The 16,116-nt window shown below is 37.8% G+C and overlaps 1 protein-coding gene and 1 long non-coding RNA gene across 2 annotated transcripts; one reads left to right on the top strand and one right to left on the bottom strand.

Moving 5' to 3' along the window:
* Nucleotides 1–2,958: 2,958 nt before the first annotated feature.
* On the bottom strand, nucleotides 2,959–12,448 carry LOC124900715 (uncharacterized). The gene is made up of 2 exons (XR_007058140.1): nucleotides 11,314–12,448; nucleotides 2,959–3,781 (listed from the first exon to the last, which is right to left on the bottom strand). It is a non-coding gene; the product is annotated as an uncharacterized LOC124900715 (long non-coding RNA).
* CXCL5 (C-X-C motif chemokine ligand 5) lies at nucleotides 11,999–15,034 on the top strand. Its single transcript, NM_002994.5, has 4 exons — nucleotides 11,999–12,203; nucleotides 12,338–12,470; nucleotides 12,581–12,664; nucleotides 13,021–15,034. The coding sequence occupies exons 1-4, from the start codon at nucleotides 12,095–12,097 to the stop codon at nucleotides 13,037–13,039; spliced, it is 345 nt and encodes a 114-aa protein (NP_002985.1). The 5' UTR covers nucleotides 11,999–12,094; the 3' UTR covers nucleotides 13,040–15,034.
* Nucleotides 15,035–16,116: the final 1,082 nt, after the last annotated feature.

Below are 16,116 nucleotides of genomic sequence, written 5' to 3'. Positions count from 1 at the left end.
AATATTTTGAAAGAAAACATGCTTTTTCTGGCAGTAGATCTCAATAGTGGGCTTAAAATATTCAGTAATCTATGCTATAAACAGATATGCTGTTGCCCAGACTTCATTATTCCATTTATAAAACACAAGCAGAGTAGATTTAGCATTCTTTTTAAGGTCCTTAGGATTTTCTTAAATGGTGAGCATTGGCTTTAGCTTAAAGTCACCAGCTGCATTAGCCCTAATAAAAGAATTAGCCTAGTTTTGAACCTTTGAAGCCAGGCATAGATTCTCTTTAGCTACGAAAGTCCTAGATGACATCTTCTTTCAACAGAAGGCTTTTTTGTCTATATTGAAATGTGTTGTTTAGTGTAACCATGTTTATCAATTATTTTAGATTTTCTTGATAACTTATTGCAGCTTCTACATCAGCACTTGCTGTTTCATCTTGGACTTTTATGTTATGGAGAAGGCTTCTTTCCCTAAACCTCATAAACCACCCTCTACTATCTTCCAACTTTTCTTCTTTAGCTTCGTCTCAGCATTCACTGAATCAACTCTTCAAAGAGAATTAGAGTTTGGTTCTGGATTAGGCTTTGGTAAGACAATACTGTGACTGAGTTGATCTATCCAGACCACTAAAACTTTCTCGGTACCAGCCATAAGCCTGTTTTACCTTCTTATCACTTGTGTATTCACTAGAATAGCGCTTCTGGTTGCTTCCAGAACTTTTTAAATTTTATTTTATTTTTGCATTCACAACTTGGTTAACTGTTTGGTGCAAGAGACATAGCTTCTGACCTCTCTCACCCTCAAACTTTAGATTTAGCATAAGAGACATGTGACCCTTCCTCTCATTTGAACACTTTGAGGCCATTGTAGGGTTATTAATTGGCCTAATTTCAATATTATTATATCTCAGAGAATAGGGAGGCCCAAAGAGAAGGAGGCAGATAAAAGAATGACCAGTCAGTGGAGCATTCAAAACACACACACACATTCATCGATTAAGTTCACCCTTGTTTATGAACACAGTTTGTGGCATCTCAAAACATTTACAATGTAACAACAATGACCACTGGTCACAGAGAACCACAACAGAAATAATTGCAATAAAAAATTTTGAAATACTGCAAGATTTACCAAAATGTGACACAGAGACAAAGTGAGCAAATGCTGTTGGAAAAATGTTCTCAATAAACTTGCTCAATGCAGGGTTGCCACAGACCTTCAACATGTACAAAATGCAACGCCTGTGAAGTGCAATAAAGCTAAGCACAATAAAGAAGGTTTGCCTGTACAATTTCCTCAAAATAAAAAGTATAGTCTTATGGGGACAATAGTAATTATAAAAAGAAATGCCGAACATGTACTTGGTGGTACTAAATAGAAACTAACTGGAGTTCTCCCTGACCATTTTAAACTACAAGAATGGTAACACTTCATTTCTACAAGCACATATATGCTAACCTGTTATACTTGCAATGCCTGTAATAATGCTATAATGCTGTGATTGGCTTGGCTTTGATGCTTGCTTTTTTCTTTAAGATTTGTTGGAGGGGCTATGGCTGCCTACAGACATATGCTTCAAAATGGAGATCCCAGATGCTCCATTCAATATGATATGATGCTAAAGGAAGGAAGCCATTTTAAAAGCTAAAGATAGAAAGGAAGCATTCAAATTGACCAATGCTACAGCCTTTAGCTGATGCACTATCTGATTTCAAGGCTTACTATAAAGCTAGATTTATAAGGACATTTGGTGTAAGAAGAGACACATAGACCATGAAATCAAATAAAGTCTAGAAATAGATGCACATGTATGCCATCATTGAATTCTGGTAATGGTTCTGAGTAAATTTAATGAGAAAAGTTTTCAAAAATCTTGTTATAATAATTTGACAGTTATATTAAAAAGTGAAACAATGTATCTCAATTACTATTTTGGATCATTTATAAAAATTAATTCAATATGGCTTATATATATGAATATAAAAGGTAAACAAAAACTTTTGAAAACTTACAAAAGAATATCTTTCAACCATGGAGGTAGACAATAATTTCTCAGAGAGGACAAACATAAAATAGGATTAATCATTTAAAAATTGGTAAGTTTGACTTTATCAGAATTCAAACTTTCTCCTCCTCAAAGACATTCTTAAGAAAATAAAAAGTCAAGCTATAGACTAAAAAATCACAAGGGCTGGGGGCAGTGGCTCACGCCTGTAATCCCAGCACTTTGGGCGGCTGAGGCGGGCGGATCACGAGGTCAGGAGATGGAGACCATCCTGGCTAACACGGTGAAACCCTGTCTCTACTAAAAATACAAACAATTAGCTGGGCGTGGTGGCGGAGGCCTGTAGTCCCAGCTAATCAGGAGGCTGAGGCAGGAGAATGGTGTGAACCCGGGAGGCGGAGCTTGAAGTGAGCCGAGACTGCGCCACTGCACTCCAGCCTGGGCGACAGAGCTAGACTCCGTCTCAAAAAAAAAAAAAAAAAAAAAAAAAAAGCACAATACATTTATCTATCAATCAAAGAACTTGTATCTACAATATACAATTAACTCCGACAAATATAAAATGGCAAAAACTCAATTTACAACAAAATAGACAAAAGATTTGTAAATAGATTTCACAAAGGAAAATTTACAAATGATAATTAAACACAAGGAAAAGTTTTCAACATTATTAGTAATCATGAAATAAAAATTAAAAACCCAATGGGATAGCATGAATAACTGCCAGTAGCTAAAAATTTAAAAACAGTTATGACGAGGATATGGAGAAACCAGGGCACTCTTACTTTGCTAGTAGGAGTATGAAAAGGTAAAACTACCTCTGGTAATAATTTGGTAATTTTCTATAAAGATTAATACACACGTATTATATGGTCCAGCAGTTCTATTCCTAATACTTATCCTGAAGAAGTGAAAATAAATAATTTGATTGTTTCTGTGTAAAAAATTATCTCAAAACTTAGTGGGTTAAAACAATAGCTATTTATTGTCTCAGGATTATCTGGGTTGATAGGGGACTGGACTCATCTCTGTGAATCTTTTGCTCCATGTGGCTGGAGTTGCAGACATCTGAAATTTGACTAGGTTGGAAAGTACAAGACGATTGCTTACACGGTTGCAGGTTGGTGCTGGCTCTCAGCTGGGAGCCCAGTGAGGCCCATCAGCTGGAGTGCCTTGGTTCTCTTCCATACGGCCTCTACACATAGCTCAGGCTTCTCAAAGCACAGGGGTTGGGTTCCAAGAAGAATCATTCCAAAAGACCAAGGTGGAAGCTGTAGATATCCTTGCACAAGTTACACAGCATCAGTTCTGCCAAATTATATTGATCAAAACCAGCCACAGGGCCAGTTCAGATTCACGGGTATGAAACATAGGTGCCACATCTCAATAGGAAGAGTGACAATAATTTTATGGCAATCTTTTCCTATGATGTGCAAAAAGACTTATATAATAATGTTTACAGCCACTTCATAATAGTCAAACTATTGAAAATGACCCAACTGTCCAACAACAGATGAATGAATAAATAAACCTGCATATATTTCTACAATTGAATGCTTAATTTGAATTATTCAATGAATATTTAATTGAATACAAAGTATACTACTAATATTCACAATAACATGTGTGAATCTCACAGACATTAAGTTGAGCAAAAAAAAGCCAGGCATAAAAGAGTACACATTGGATGATTCCGTTTTTAAAAAGTTCAAGAGTAGGCAAAACTAAAAATCAGAACAGCAATTTCCTCTGGAGAAGAGAATGAATGGAAAAAGCATGGATTTTCTGAAAAAAAATGAAAATGTTCTCTTGATTAGCTATTTACATTTTCAAAACTCATTGAACTGTACACTTAAGATATGTACATCTCACTGTGAAAATTTTACATCAATGTAAAACATAAAAGAAGAAAAAATATTTTTAAAAGTTTTCACAGCTATCCTTTTTGTTCTTCTGAATAGTTTTATGGAGAAGAAAGCTGATATTAGTATTTTCATTTAAATAAATAGTAAATTGTTTGAGATCATACAGAAAGTTTGTGGCAGAAGAATGACTTAAATTCGGATAAGAGAAGTATTCATGGGTGGCTGAAGGAACCATTTTTTTCTGAGTATTGCCTCAATTAAAGTAATTATTTTAATTTCAAACCATCGCAGAAAGCTGACTAGATATAGTTCGATATGAAACTTCCACAACTTTCATTTATTACAAAGAACTATCTAGTACCTAGCAACACTGTGACAGATACTAGCTTGTGGTCTATTTCTAATATGTGAGCCATTACTGTATTTCTCTGTTCTATGACATAATCCCTGGTCATAGCATTCATCAGTCTGGCCTCAAATTTAAATTAGAGAAAAACCACAGAACTCTTTCCAAGGGACATTATGTTCCAAATGAAATTACTCCCAGTCTGATTTACTAATACTGAATGCTTTGGAAACTGAAATGATTCAAAATAAAATATTTTGTTAAAGCAATTTGGTCAATTTACCCTCCAGAGGAAGTCATGCTTTAAAATCCCAAGTGGCTAGTAAGAAACTCATGGTCGAACATTAGCCAGAATTTCTAGGATTTTGTGACTTTTGGCTTGGCATTGCGACATCTTTTTTTGCCAGTGTGAGCAATTTTCTAATTCCCAATTCTTGTAAAAAGAATATTTAAATGTGCATGAAAGCAGTTATTCACTGGGAATTCATAATCAGACTTAATGAAAATTTGATGGGAAAATATAAACTATAAGACATGTTCTATTCTCAGTTTTTTAAAATCTTTGTTTTGGTGATGTGGTGATGAGGCTTGTGGTGGTGGTGGTGTGCCTGTGTGTTTGTCCTTTAAGTTCATGACCATTGTTTTGCATACTTATCAGATGTTAGGTCTTTGCTAGTTTTTCTTTTTTTTTCTTTTTTTGCTTATGAATCCAGGTTTATTCATGTGACAGGTGGTAAGATGATGCCATACTTAACTTTGACTTCACATTCCTGTTGATCAAAGCCTCTCACACCCTTTTTAAACAAAGCGGGCAGTAAAATACAACATATTGCTTAACTAACCAACGTTACATATTGCTCAGAAAACTCTACACTCCCAACAGGAAATTCCAGGAATGAAAGGATTCCTGTTTCGTTATCAAAAAGGTGCCTTGTTCTAGTAACCACAATAGGTAGAGTAAATTAAAAGATTTATTCCTGGATTGTTCATTTCTCTGAAAGTGACTTAAGAACAAACTTAAAACTTTTGAGGTAGGTCTGACATAATGAATTCTCTTTCATCTGAGATAATACTTTTAAATGTGCATCAGAAACTCTTCAAAGGTTTTCCAAGCAGCGACAAGGAAGGAAAACAGATGGTTTTGACTGTCTAGGAACTACATAAATCACACATATACAAATATATTACAATTATTACTATTCAAACAGCAATGATGAGGTTCTACTATATAGTAAATAAGAATTGAATATATTGTGAAGTTATGCAAAAGATAATATTCTGCTAAAACAAATACAAGTTGTGAAGGTAATAGTGATCAGAAATAATATTTCAAACGAGCATTATTAAGCACAGTATTAGAAATCTAGTTTACATAAAGGACTTTTGTAGTATCATAGAAATGCCTTCTCCAAGTTATTTAAAATATCTGACATTAAAAAGTGCTTTGCTCACTTAGCCCAGAACAAATTTCTGAAGAAAGCAACGAAGACTTCCTGTTTCTGAGATGCTCAAGGCTTTCAGAAATATTTAAAACGTACATTCTGATCTTATTTTCTCCATGTATCAACTCTTTCTGTCAACAAAAACTTTTCTGAGGTTTGCACAGTCATACAGTAGATAACTAGCTGCCCCATCCACACAGAAGGTGGGAAAGAAAAGCCCAGCTATGATTATTTGGAGTTTAGCTCGGTATAGACCCAATCAGGGCTCACTGATTTGCTCCTCCAACAGATATTACCTGAAACGGGCAGCAAGGAAAATTAGATAACTGGCCAAAGGAAAGAAAATATTCCTGACATTTTATAGAAAAAGTGAAATGACTTTGAAGCAAAGTTATTCCCTGGATGATGCTGCTTCTTCATTGGACTGCCAGACCAATTTAGAAGGAAACAGACAAACTGCATTTACATTGCAACATAAACCCAAGAGTTACTACCTTTTTTCTTTTCTTTTGCATACAAGCAACTCTATCCTCCACTTAAACTCTTATTGCCTTCCTTATACTGATAACCTCGATATGCTTAACCTGATAACAATGTGCTCACATCCTTAGTTATTGCAATTGTATAGCATTTCTTAAAGGTAATACAAAGAATATTGGATATTAAAAAAAAAGAACCTTAAAAAAACATTTGAAAAGGCCTATGCCAAATACTAAATCACAGAGTTAAAGGCTTCTATGGTTTGTTGGAAAAGATCAATTTAGAATGACATACCCACACTGTTAACATTCAACACAGTATAACATAATCAGAATTTCCCCTTGTCATTTACATCCTACAATCTCAATGTCACAGAAACTATTTGGTCTGTGTTATTTGGTCAATACTTTAGTTGTATAATTTTATTTCATTTAATATAAAATGTCTTTCTGTGTTCTGAACATTCTTCTGAACAGTTTGGATTCCAAAGAATGAAAATATTAATATCATTCTAACTTTCTCTAAGAATAACCAAGAAATAATTTCCCATATAGGAGGCAGCCAATTCAAAATTGTAAAGGTTAGAAAAATAGAGGAGTTAATAACAGTAAACAGCCCCATCCTTTTCTCTTTAAGATCTACTTGTAAGGTAAATAACACTGTAAAATTAAAAAAAAATTATCATTATTAATCAGCAAGTATTCACAGACTGCTCACTGCTACACTAAGAAATTATGGGAGGTTATGTGAGAAATGCAGGACATCATCACTGATTTTAAGGAGTTTATAGTTGACTTGAGGAAGACAAAGGCAAAATTAAGGAATAATTAAACTCTGCCTCATGAGGTAGTTATTACAAGTATACTAGATGTTCAAAGAGCAAAGGTGGACGGAATACCCTACAAATGACTTTGTCAGAATAAGCCTTTTCAAAGAAGAAAGGACTTTGAATCTGTCTGGAAGAAAGTGAGGGATTTAGAATGCAGAGGATGACGTATGGTATTATTTCTGAGGGCTCTGTTATGTTCCATTGGTCTATATCTCTGTTTTGGTACCAGTACCATGATGTTTTGGTTACTGTAGCCTTGTAGTATAGTTTGAAGTCAGGTAGCGTGATGTCTCCAGCTATGTTCTTTTAGCTTAGGATTGACTTGGCAATGCGGGCTCTTTTTTGGTTCCATATGAACTTTAAAGTAGGTTTTTCCAATTCAGTGAAGAAAGTCATGGTAGCTTGATGGGGATGGCATCGAATCTATAAATTATCTTATGCAGTATGGCCATTTTCACGATATTGATTCTTCCTATCCATGAGCATGGAATGTTCTTCCATTTGTTTGTGTCCTTTTTATTTTATTGATCACTGGTTTGTAGTTCTCCTTGAAGAGGTCCTTCACATCCCTTGTAAGTTGGATTCCTAGGTATTTTATTCTCTTTTAAGCAATTGTGAATGGGAGTTCACTCATGATTTGGTTCTCTGTTTGTCTGTCAGAAATAATACCACACATCTACAACTATCTGATCTTTGACAAACCTGACAAAAACAAGAAATGGGGAAAGGATTCCCTATTTAACAAATGGTGCTGGGAAAACTGGCTAGCCATATGTAGAAAGCTGAAACTGGATCCCTTCCTTACACCTTATACAAAAATTAATTCAAGATGGATTAAAGACTTAAATGTTAGACCTAAAACCATAAAAACCCTAGAAGAAAACCTAGGGCAATACCATTCAGGACATAGGCATGGGCAAGGACTTCATGTCTAAAACACCAAAAGCAATGGCAACAAAAGCCAAAATTGACAAATGGGCTCTAATTAAACTCAAGAGCTTCTGCACAGCAAAAGAAACTACCATCAGAGTGAACAGGCAACTACAGAATGGGAGAAAATTTTTGCAATCTACTCATCTGACAAAAGGCTAATATCCAGAATCTACAAAGAACTCAAACAAATTTACAAGAAAAAAACAAACAACCCCATCAAAAAGTGGGCAAAGGATATGAACAGACACTTCTCAAAAGAAGACATTTATGCAGCCAACAGACACATGAAAAAATGCTCATCATCACTGGCCATCAGAGAAATGCAAATCAAAACCACAATGAGATATCATCTCACACCAGATAGAATGGCAATCATTAAAAAGTCAGGAAACAACAGGTGCTGGAGAGGATGTGGAGAAATGGGAACACTTTTACACTGTTGGTGGAACTGTAAACTAGTTCAACCATTGTGGAAGACAGTGTGGCAATTCCTCAGGGATCTAGAACTAGAAATACCATTTGACCCAGCCATCCCATTACTGGGTATATACCCAAAGGAATATCAATCATGCTGCTATAAAGACACATGCACACGTATGTTTATTGTGGCACTACTCACAATAGCAAAGACTTGGAACCAAGCCAAATGTCCAACAATGATAGACTGGATTAAGAAAATGTGGCACAAATACACCATGCAATACTATGCAGCCATAAAAAATGATGAGTTCATGTCCTTTTTAGGGACATGGATGAAGCTGGAAACCATCATTCTCAGCAAACTATCACAAGGACAAAAAACCAAACACCACATGTTCTCACTCATAGGTGGGAAATGAACAATGAGAGCACTTGGACACAAGAAGGGGAACATCAGACACCAGGGCCTGTTGTGGGGTGGGGGAAGGGTGGGGGGATAGCATTAGGAGATATACCTAATGTAAAAGACGAGTTAATGGGTGCAGCACACCAACATGGCACATGTATACATATGTAACATACCTGCATGTTTTGCACATGTACCCTAGAACTTAAAGTATAATAAAAAATATAATAAATAAATAAATAAAATAAAAAAATAAATAGAAAGCAGAGGACAGTTTCAGGTGGAATACCTTGGAAGCCTCTAGGACCCTTGATATTACTGCAATCTCAAAGGCAAGAGTGGAAGGACTGAGGATATCAATAGCTTAAAATATGGTTGTTGGGAAACACAATAAAGTGGTTAGCCAGATTGGGGAGAGCTGCTAGGGGGTGTTTGCCAGCAATTGTGAAGAAAGTGGTTTGTAATCTGGAAACCATTAAAAATTACTGGGGCAGATTCTCTGGTGCTTGACTGCCAGTGCTGGATTTTCTACTACTTAACTCATGCTCTACTTACTTTGCCTAGCTGCAAAATGGGGGAGAAAATTTCTCTTATCCAAGAATCAATGTGAGGCTCAAGAAATAATGAACATTAAGTGTTTTGGAAGGCAAAAATCATTTATACTGTATTAGTTTATATTACATTATACTGTGGTATAATGACTAAAATAGGATTGCTTTAGACAGACAGTTAAGCCTTCAGGCTGTCAGGATGCTGATACCATTGGATGAATTATTCTATTTTAGTTGGGAACAAAAATAACAGAGTTTTTCTCTACCACCTGGATACAGTGCAGGTAAGACAAATGGCTTTTGTTTAAACTGATGATAAAGAAGCAACTACTGTTAAAGTGCTGTGTCTTCAGTGGTTCTTGGTGCTGTCATACTCAACCTTAGAGGACTTTTGGACCATCCACGTTTGTACAAAGCCAACATCCAAGATGCCTATATAGGAACCAGACATGGGCAGTGGGCCAGAGTGATTTCCATGGGAAGCCAGTTTAAGTGACATATTGCTTCCTGATTAGGTTGGGCAACCCAACAGCCCATTTCTAGTGGGGACTTTCTATCATGTGCTTGTCAGCTAAAGAAGTGTTTTTTTTCTTCTTGCATTCCATAAACAAGCTACAGTGAATTGATTCAGAGTGCAAACCAGGTGAGATATATACATTTATAAGACCGTCAGGAGGAACTGGCAATCTTTTCTCATGATCCATCTCAGATTTCACCATTTGGCGCCAAAAACAAATTCGTGTGTTCACTTATGTTTAAAATAGCTTATTTAGAACTAACGTAAACACACACACACACACACAGTTTAAAAGTCAATAACCTATGTAATTAAACTTCTTTTAAAAGAACAAAGTCTTATCCTATGGTTTACTCCCTGTGGTTACGTTGAATTTAATTGCCCAAGATTTTTTGAAGTGTTATCACTTCACCTAGGCTTAACTTTTGTCTTTCGATACACTCTAATCTCTAAAACGTCAACATACTAAATCTGCAGGCTGTTTTCTACAGATTACCACTCCCCAGAAAGATGAAGAATTACATTTTCTGAGTCAGGTATGATGCTGGTGATGTCAAGAAGCTGTGAAGACTTCTCATTTAGTTTCCCACAGAGTAAGGCCCATACCACCAAACCTTACTCAGCCAGTGAATTTCTGAAGTTTCCTTCCAAAATAAAAGTTGTTAAGGTCTATGACATCTCTTTCTTGCTCACCAATGGAGGTGATGGATGGGGGAGTTAATAAAATTCCCAGTATCATAGGAGACAAGGAAAAGAGTTGTGTTTCATGACTGGTTTCTCATTGCCATCATGTTTACTGATTACCTTTGCTGGTCTGCTGTGAGGGCAAGGGTCTTCAGAACCAGCCAGAAGAGGATCTAGTTAGATTTCCATGAAAGAAAGCCTATGTGTCATTCCAATACAATAACCCATTCCTGCCATGGAGCAAGACAGTGGAAAACCCTTAAACCTTCAGTGCTTTAACTCCTCCACAGATAACAGAAGGAGAGAGGGAGAGGAAGCTGGAAACTACTTCACCCTTCAATTTCAGGCAGCAGTGCAGGGCTCACTGGGGACTAGAGTAGGCCTGTGGAAACAGCGTTGGTCACCAGTAATCATGAAACTCGATGGTTCCAGAAACCTGTGGGGAGCATTCCTCCCTCCGTGAAGTTGTTTGAGGGAAAACAGACTGGGTGCTGTTGTGCTGCCAAATTGATACAAACCCCTACAAGAAGCTTTCACATGAGCCCTTCAAACTCATCAGCCTCCCACAGCATCTCCAAATGGTGTCAAATACATATCTGGGGCTGGGAACAGAGCTGGGGCAGGCCTGGGATCCCTGGCAAGCTTTAGCCTGCGCTCACCATACTACACCTCACCCCCAACAAGACCAAAACCTCTTCCAATTCAATAGCATAGCAACTGCCAATAGCAAGGTATCTTCCATGGCAATTTGCTGGGTGATTTTGGAAGATTTTTGTTTAACTACCTGGACACACGTATACTTGCTATATACTACAAGTACAGAATTCTCAGTAAGCGGACTTACCAAAGTAGGTGATCTGTAGGGGAGTTAACAAAATTCAGTGGTCCTTTCAGGCCACTGACTTCAAGTGGCAAGAGACAAGGGTCTCTTGTTATCATGTTATCTTGGCTTCCAAAGCTGGTTGAAGTCCAGAGATTCATAAAGTCATTCAAGAAACCTAGAATGACCTGCCTGCAAGGAAGACAGGAAGGACTTTCAGTTTATAGCAATTCAAACATGAATAACATTTCCTGATTAATAGTAATAATAATTAGAAAGGATTGACTTTCAGAAATTTTTCTCAAATCAAGGCTCCTGTTACTTTGGTTCCACCTTTTCTCTCTAGAAGGAGAGGAGGAGCATCTCCCAGAGGGCTGCGTGCCTCAGAAAAGCCGGCATCCCTAGCCCGCTCTGGCACAGGCCATGAGGCCCTGCTGAATCCTGCTGAATAGCTACTCCCTTCTAGCTGGAGCCACAGCTCCCTCCACCGCGGAGCAGGGTTACAACGTCCCTCTCGGTAGAGGTGCACGCAGCTCCTCCTGGCCACCCTCCCCACCAGTTCCCATTGTCTGGCCCCCCTCCCCCAACCTCTTCTTTCCACACTGCCCCATGAGTTCAGGGAATTTCCCCAGCATCCCAAAGCTTGAGTTTCCTGTCAGTGGGGAGAGATGAGTGTAGATAAAAGGAGTGCAGAAGGCACGAGGAAGCCACAGTGCTCCGGATCCTCCAATCTTCGCTCCTCCAATCTCCGCTCCTCCACCCAGTTCAGGAACCCGCGACCGCTCGCAGCGCTCTCTTGACCACTATGAGCCTCCTGTCCAGCCGCGCGGCCCGTGTCCCCGGTCCTTCGAGCTCCTTGTGCGCGCTGTTGGTGCTGCTGCTGCTGCTGACGCAGCCAGGGCCCATCGCCAGCGGTGAGAGCGCATGGCGCGCGGGACGCACTCGCACTCGGGCACAGAGGTGCATCCCAGCCTCTGCGGGGTCGCTGCGTTCCAGGGAACTCTCCCAGCAACCTGCCCTATAAAGGGTGTCTCTCTTTCTTCCCCAGCTGGTCCTGCCGCTGCTGTGTTGAGAGAGCTGCGTTGCGTTTGTTTACAGACCACGCAAGGAGTTCATCCCAAAATGATCAGTAATCTGCAAGTGTTCGCCATAGGCCCACAGTGCTCCAAGGTGGAAGTGGTGTAAGTTCTGTGCTGCTGTGTCCGCTGTGACCTTGGCAAGAGAGAAATCCCGCAGCCTGGGTCTTCAACCTTGGTATCTCATGAGTGTATCTTCTTTTTCTTTCCTTCAGAGCCTCCCTGAAGAACGGGAAGGAAATTTGTCTTGATCCAGAAGCCCCTTTTCTAAAGAAAGTCATCCAGAAAATTTTGGACGGGTACTTGTCACTTTGATCTTTGTGGTTTCTAAATCTGATCTAGGGAGACCATAGACTTCACAAGGTCTTTATTCTCTGTACGATTTAAGTAACACTTTTCATGTTTAGAATTAAAAGGTTGTTGAATTGGGAAAGTTTTTCTGGATTGTCCTGGGAAAATATACCAATCTTACATGTAATTACTTGAGCAATTACACACAGCTTGTCACTAAGTTATGTTTTTTGTTTACCCATTGCTTTTATTGATTTTTGTATTCTCCTTTTTTACCAAACATCATAAACGCTGAGTTTTGACAAGGGTGGAGTAGAAAGGAGTGTGAAAAATGGTTAAACTAATATAACATTTTTCTCAACAGTGGAAACAAGGAAAACTGATTAAGAGAAATGAGCACGCATGGAAAAGTTTCCCAGTCTTCAGCAGAGAAGTTTTCTGGAGGTCTCTGAACCCAGGGAAGACAAGAAGGAAAGATTTTGTTGTTGTTTGTTTATTTGTTTTTCCAGTAGTTAGCTTTCTTCCTGGATTCCTCACTTTGAAGAGTGTGAGGAAAACCTATGTTTGCCGCTTAAGCTTTCAGCTCAGCTAATGAAGTGTTTAGCATAGTACCTCTGCTATTTGCTGTTATTTTATCTGCTATGCTATTGAAGTTTTGGCAATTGACTATAGTGTGAGCCAGGAATCACTGGCTGTTAATCTTTCAAAGTGTCTTGAATTGTAGGTGACTATTATATTTCCAAGAAATATTCCTTAAGATATTAACTGAGAAGGCTGTGGATTTAATGTGGAAATGATGTTTCATAAGAATTCTGTTGATGGAAATACACTGTTATCTTCACTTTTATAAGAAATAGGAAATATTTTAATGTTTCTTGGGGAATATGTTAGAGAATTTCCTTACTCTTGATTGTGGGATACTATTTAATTATTTCACTTTAGAAAGCTGAGTGTTTCACACCTTATCTATGTAGAATATATTTCCTTATTCAGAATTTCTAAAAGTTTAAGTTCTATGAGGGCTAATATCTTATCTTCCTATAATTTTAGACATTCTTTATCTTTTTAGTATGGCAAACTGCCATCATTTACTTTTAAACTTTGATTTTATATGCTATTTATTAAGTATTTTATTAGGAGTACCATAATTCTGGTAGCTAAATATATATTTTAGATAGATGAAGAAGCTAGAAAACAGGCAAATTCCTGACTGCTAGTTTATATAGAAATGTATTCTTTTAGTTTTTAAAGTAAAGGCAAACTTAACAATGACTTGTACTCTGAAAGTTTTGGAAACGTATTCAAACAATTTGAATATAAATTTATCATTTAGTTATAAAAATATATAGCGACATCCTCGAGGCCCTAGCATTTCTCCTTGGATAGGGGACCAGAGAGAGCTTGGAATGTTAAAAACAAAACAAAACAAAAAAAAACAAGGAGAAGTTGTCCAAGGGATGTCAATTTTTTATCCCTCTGTATGGGTTAGATTTTCCAAAATCATAATTTGAAGAAGGCCAGCATTTATGGTAGAATATATAATTATATATAAGGTGGCCACGCTGGGGCAAGTTCCCTCCCCACTCACAGCTTTGGCCCCTTTCACAGAGTAGAACCTGGGTTAGAGGATTGCAGAAGACGAGCGGGAGCGGGGAGGGCAGGGAAGATGCCTGTCGGGTTTTTAGCACAGTTCATTTCACTGGGATTTTGAAGCATTTCTGTCTGAATGTAAAGCCTGTTCTAGTCCTGGTGGGACACACTGGGGTTGGGGGTGGGGGAAGATGCGGTAATGAAACCGGTTAGTCAGTGTTGTCTTAATATCCTTGATAATGCTGTAAAGTTTATTTTTACAAATATTTCTGTTTAAGCTATTTCACCTTTGTTTGGAAATCCTTCCCTTTTAAAGAGAAAATGTGACACTTGTGAAAAGGCTTGTAGGAAAGCTCCTCCCTTTTTTTCTTTAAACCTTTAAATGACAAACCTAGGTAATTAATGGTTGTGAATTTCTATTTTTGCTTTGTTTTTAATGAACATTTGTCTTTCAGAATAGGATTCTGTGATAATATTTAAATGGCAAAAACAAAACATAATTTTGTGCAATTAACAAAGCTACTGCAAGAAAAATAAAACATTTCTTGGTAAAAACGTATGTATTTATATATTATATATTTATATATAATATATATTATATATTTAGCATTGCTGAGCTTTTTAGATGCCTATTGTGTATCTTTTAAAGGTTTTGACCATTTTGTTATGAGTAATTACATATATATTACATTCACTATATTAAAATTGTACTTTTTTACTATGTGTCTCATTGGTTCATAGTCTTTATTTTGTCCTTTGAATAAACATTAAAAGATTTCTAAACTTCACTCATATTGTTTCTCCTTCCTATACTGTTACAATACATTTTACTTATCTTTAATTCTATGTAATTTAAAACACTAACTCTGCTCCTCTCTGACTGGCAGAGAAGGCCCTCATTCCCCAATACCATTTCCTTGGCTCAACCTTTCTCCAAGTTCAGTTCCCTTCTAGTTATCCCTTCACAGCACCAATGGCTTCTGGGGTCTTTAGAAAACACAAATATTTCCCTATCTAAATTCTTCCCTATCTAAATTGTTTCCTAAACATAAAATAAAGGTTTCTAAGCATGACAGATGACCTTCTTTCTGTCTCATCCCATTCCTGATCAGCACTTTAACTTCCCTTGTCCCTCAAATTCACTATAGTCAGGTGTTCAGTTCCCTAACTGGGCATGTTCTTTCCTAGGCCCATGACTTTGGATTTGCTAGGGCCACTACCTGCATATAAGAAGAGGCTTATTCATCCTTAAGAACTCAGCTCAAGTAATACCAGCTCCTTGGCAGAGCTCATGGCTTCCGATTTGATATTCTCATGACATCTCATTATCTGAATTACAACAAAAAAACTGCATTGCTCTTATTTGTTTATAGGTTTCTTCATCCACTCTAGCTCTCCCAGAACATTAACCATATTATATCTACCGCTGCATCCCCAATGTAGCATTAATGCATGAATTAATGAATTAACAAGTTATCCTGATCTTCAGGCTGTCAGATACTGTTCTAAATTCAATAACCTGGTTCATGGTAGATGTCATTTTTTTTTTTTTTGAGACCGAGTCTTGCTCTGTTGCCCAGGCTGGACTCCAATGACATGACCTCAGCTCACTGCAACCTCTGCCTCCCAGTTTCAAGCGACTCTCCCGCCTCAGCCTCCCGAGTACCTGGGAGTACAGGCACCTACCAGCATGCCCAGCTAGTTTTTGTATTTTTGTAGAGATGGGATTTCACCATGTTGGCCAGGGTGGTCTTGAAATCCTGATCTCAGGTCATCAGCCCGCCTCAGCCTCCAAAGTGTTGGGATTACAGGCATGAGCCACCCTGCTCGGTTTTAATTAAATTATAACTTGTTTACCCTCTTTTCTCCT

The sequence above is a fragment of the Homo sapiens genome, chromosome 4, assembly GCF_000001405.40.
Source record: "Homo sapiens chromosome 4, GRCh38.p14 Primary Assembly".
Taxonomy (NCBI): domain Eukaryota; kingdom Metazoa; phylum Chordata; class Mammalia; order Primates; family Hominidae; genus Homo; species Homo sapiens.
This window is presented reverse-complemented; position numbering and strand designations above follow the sequence as displayed.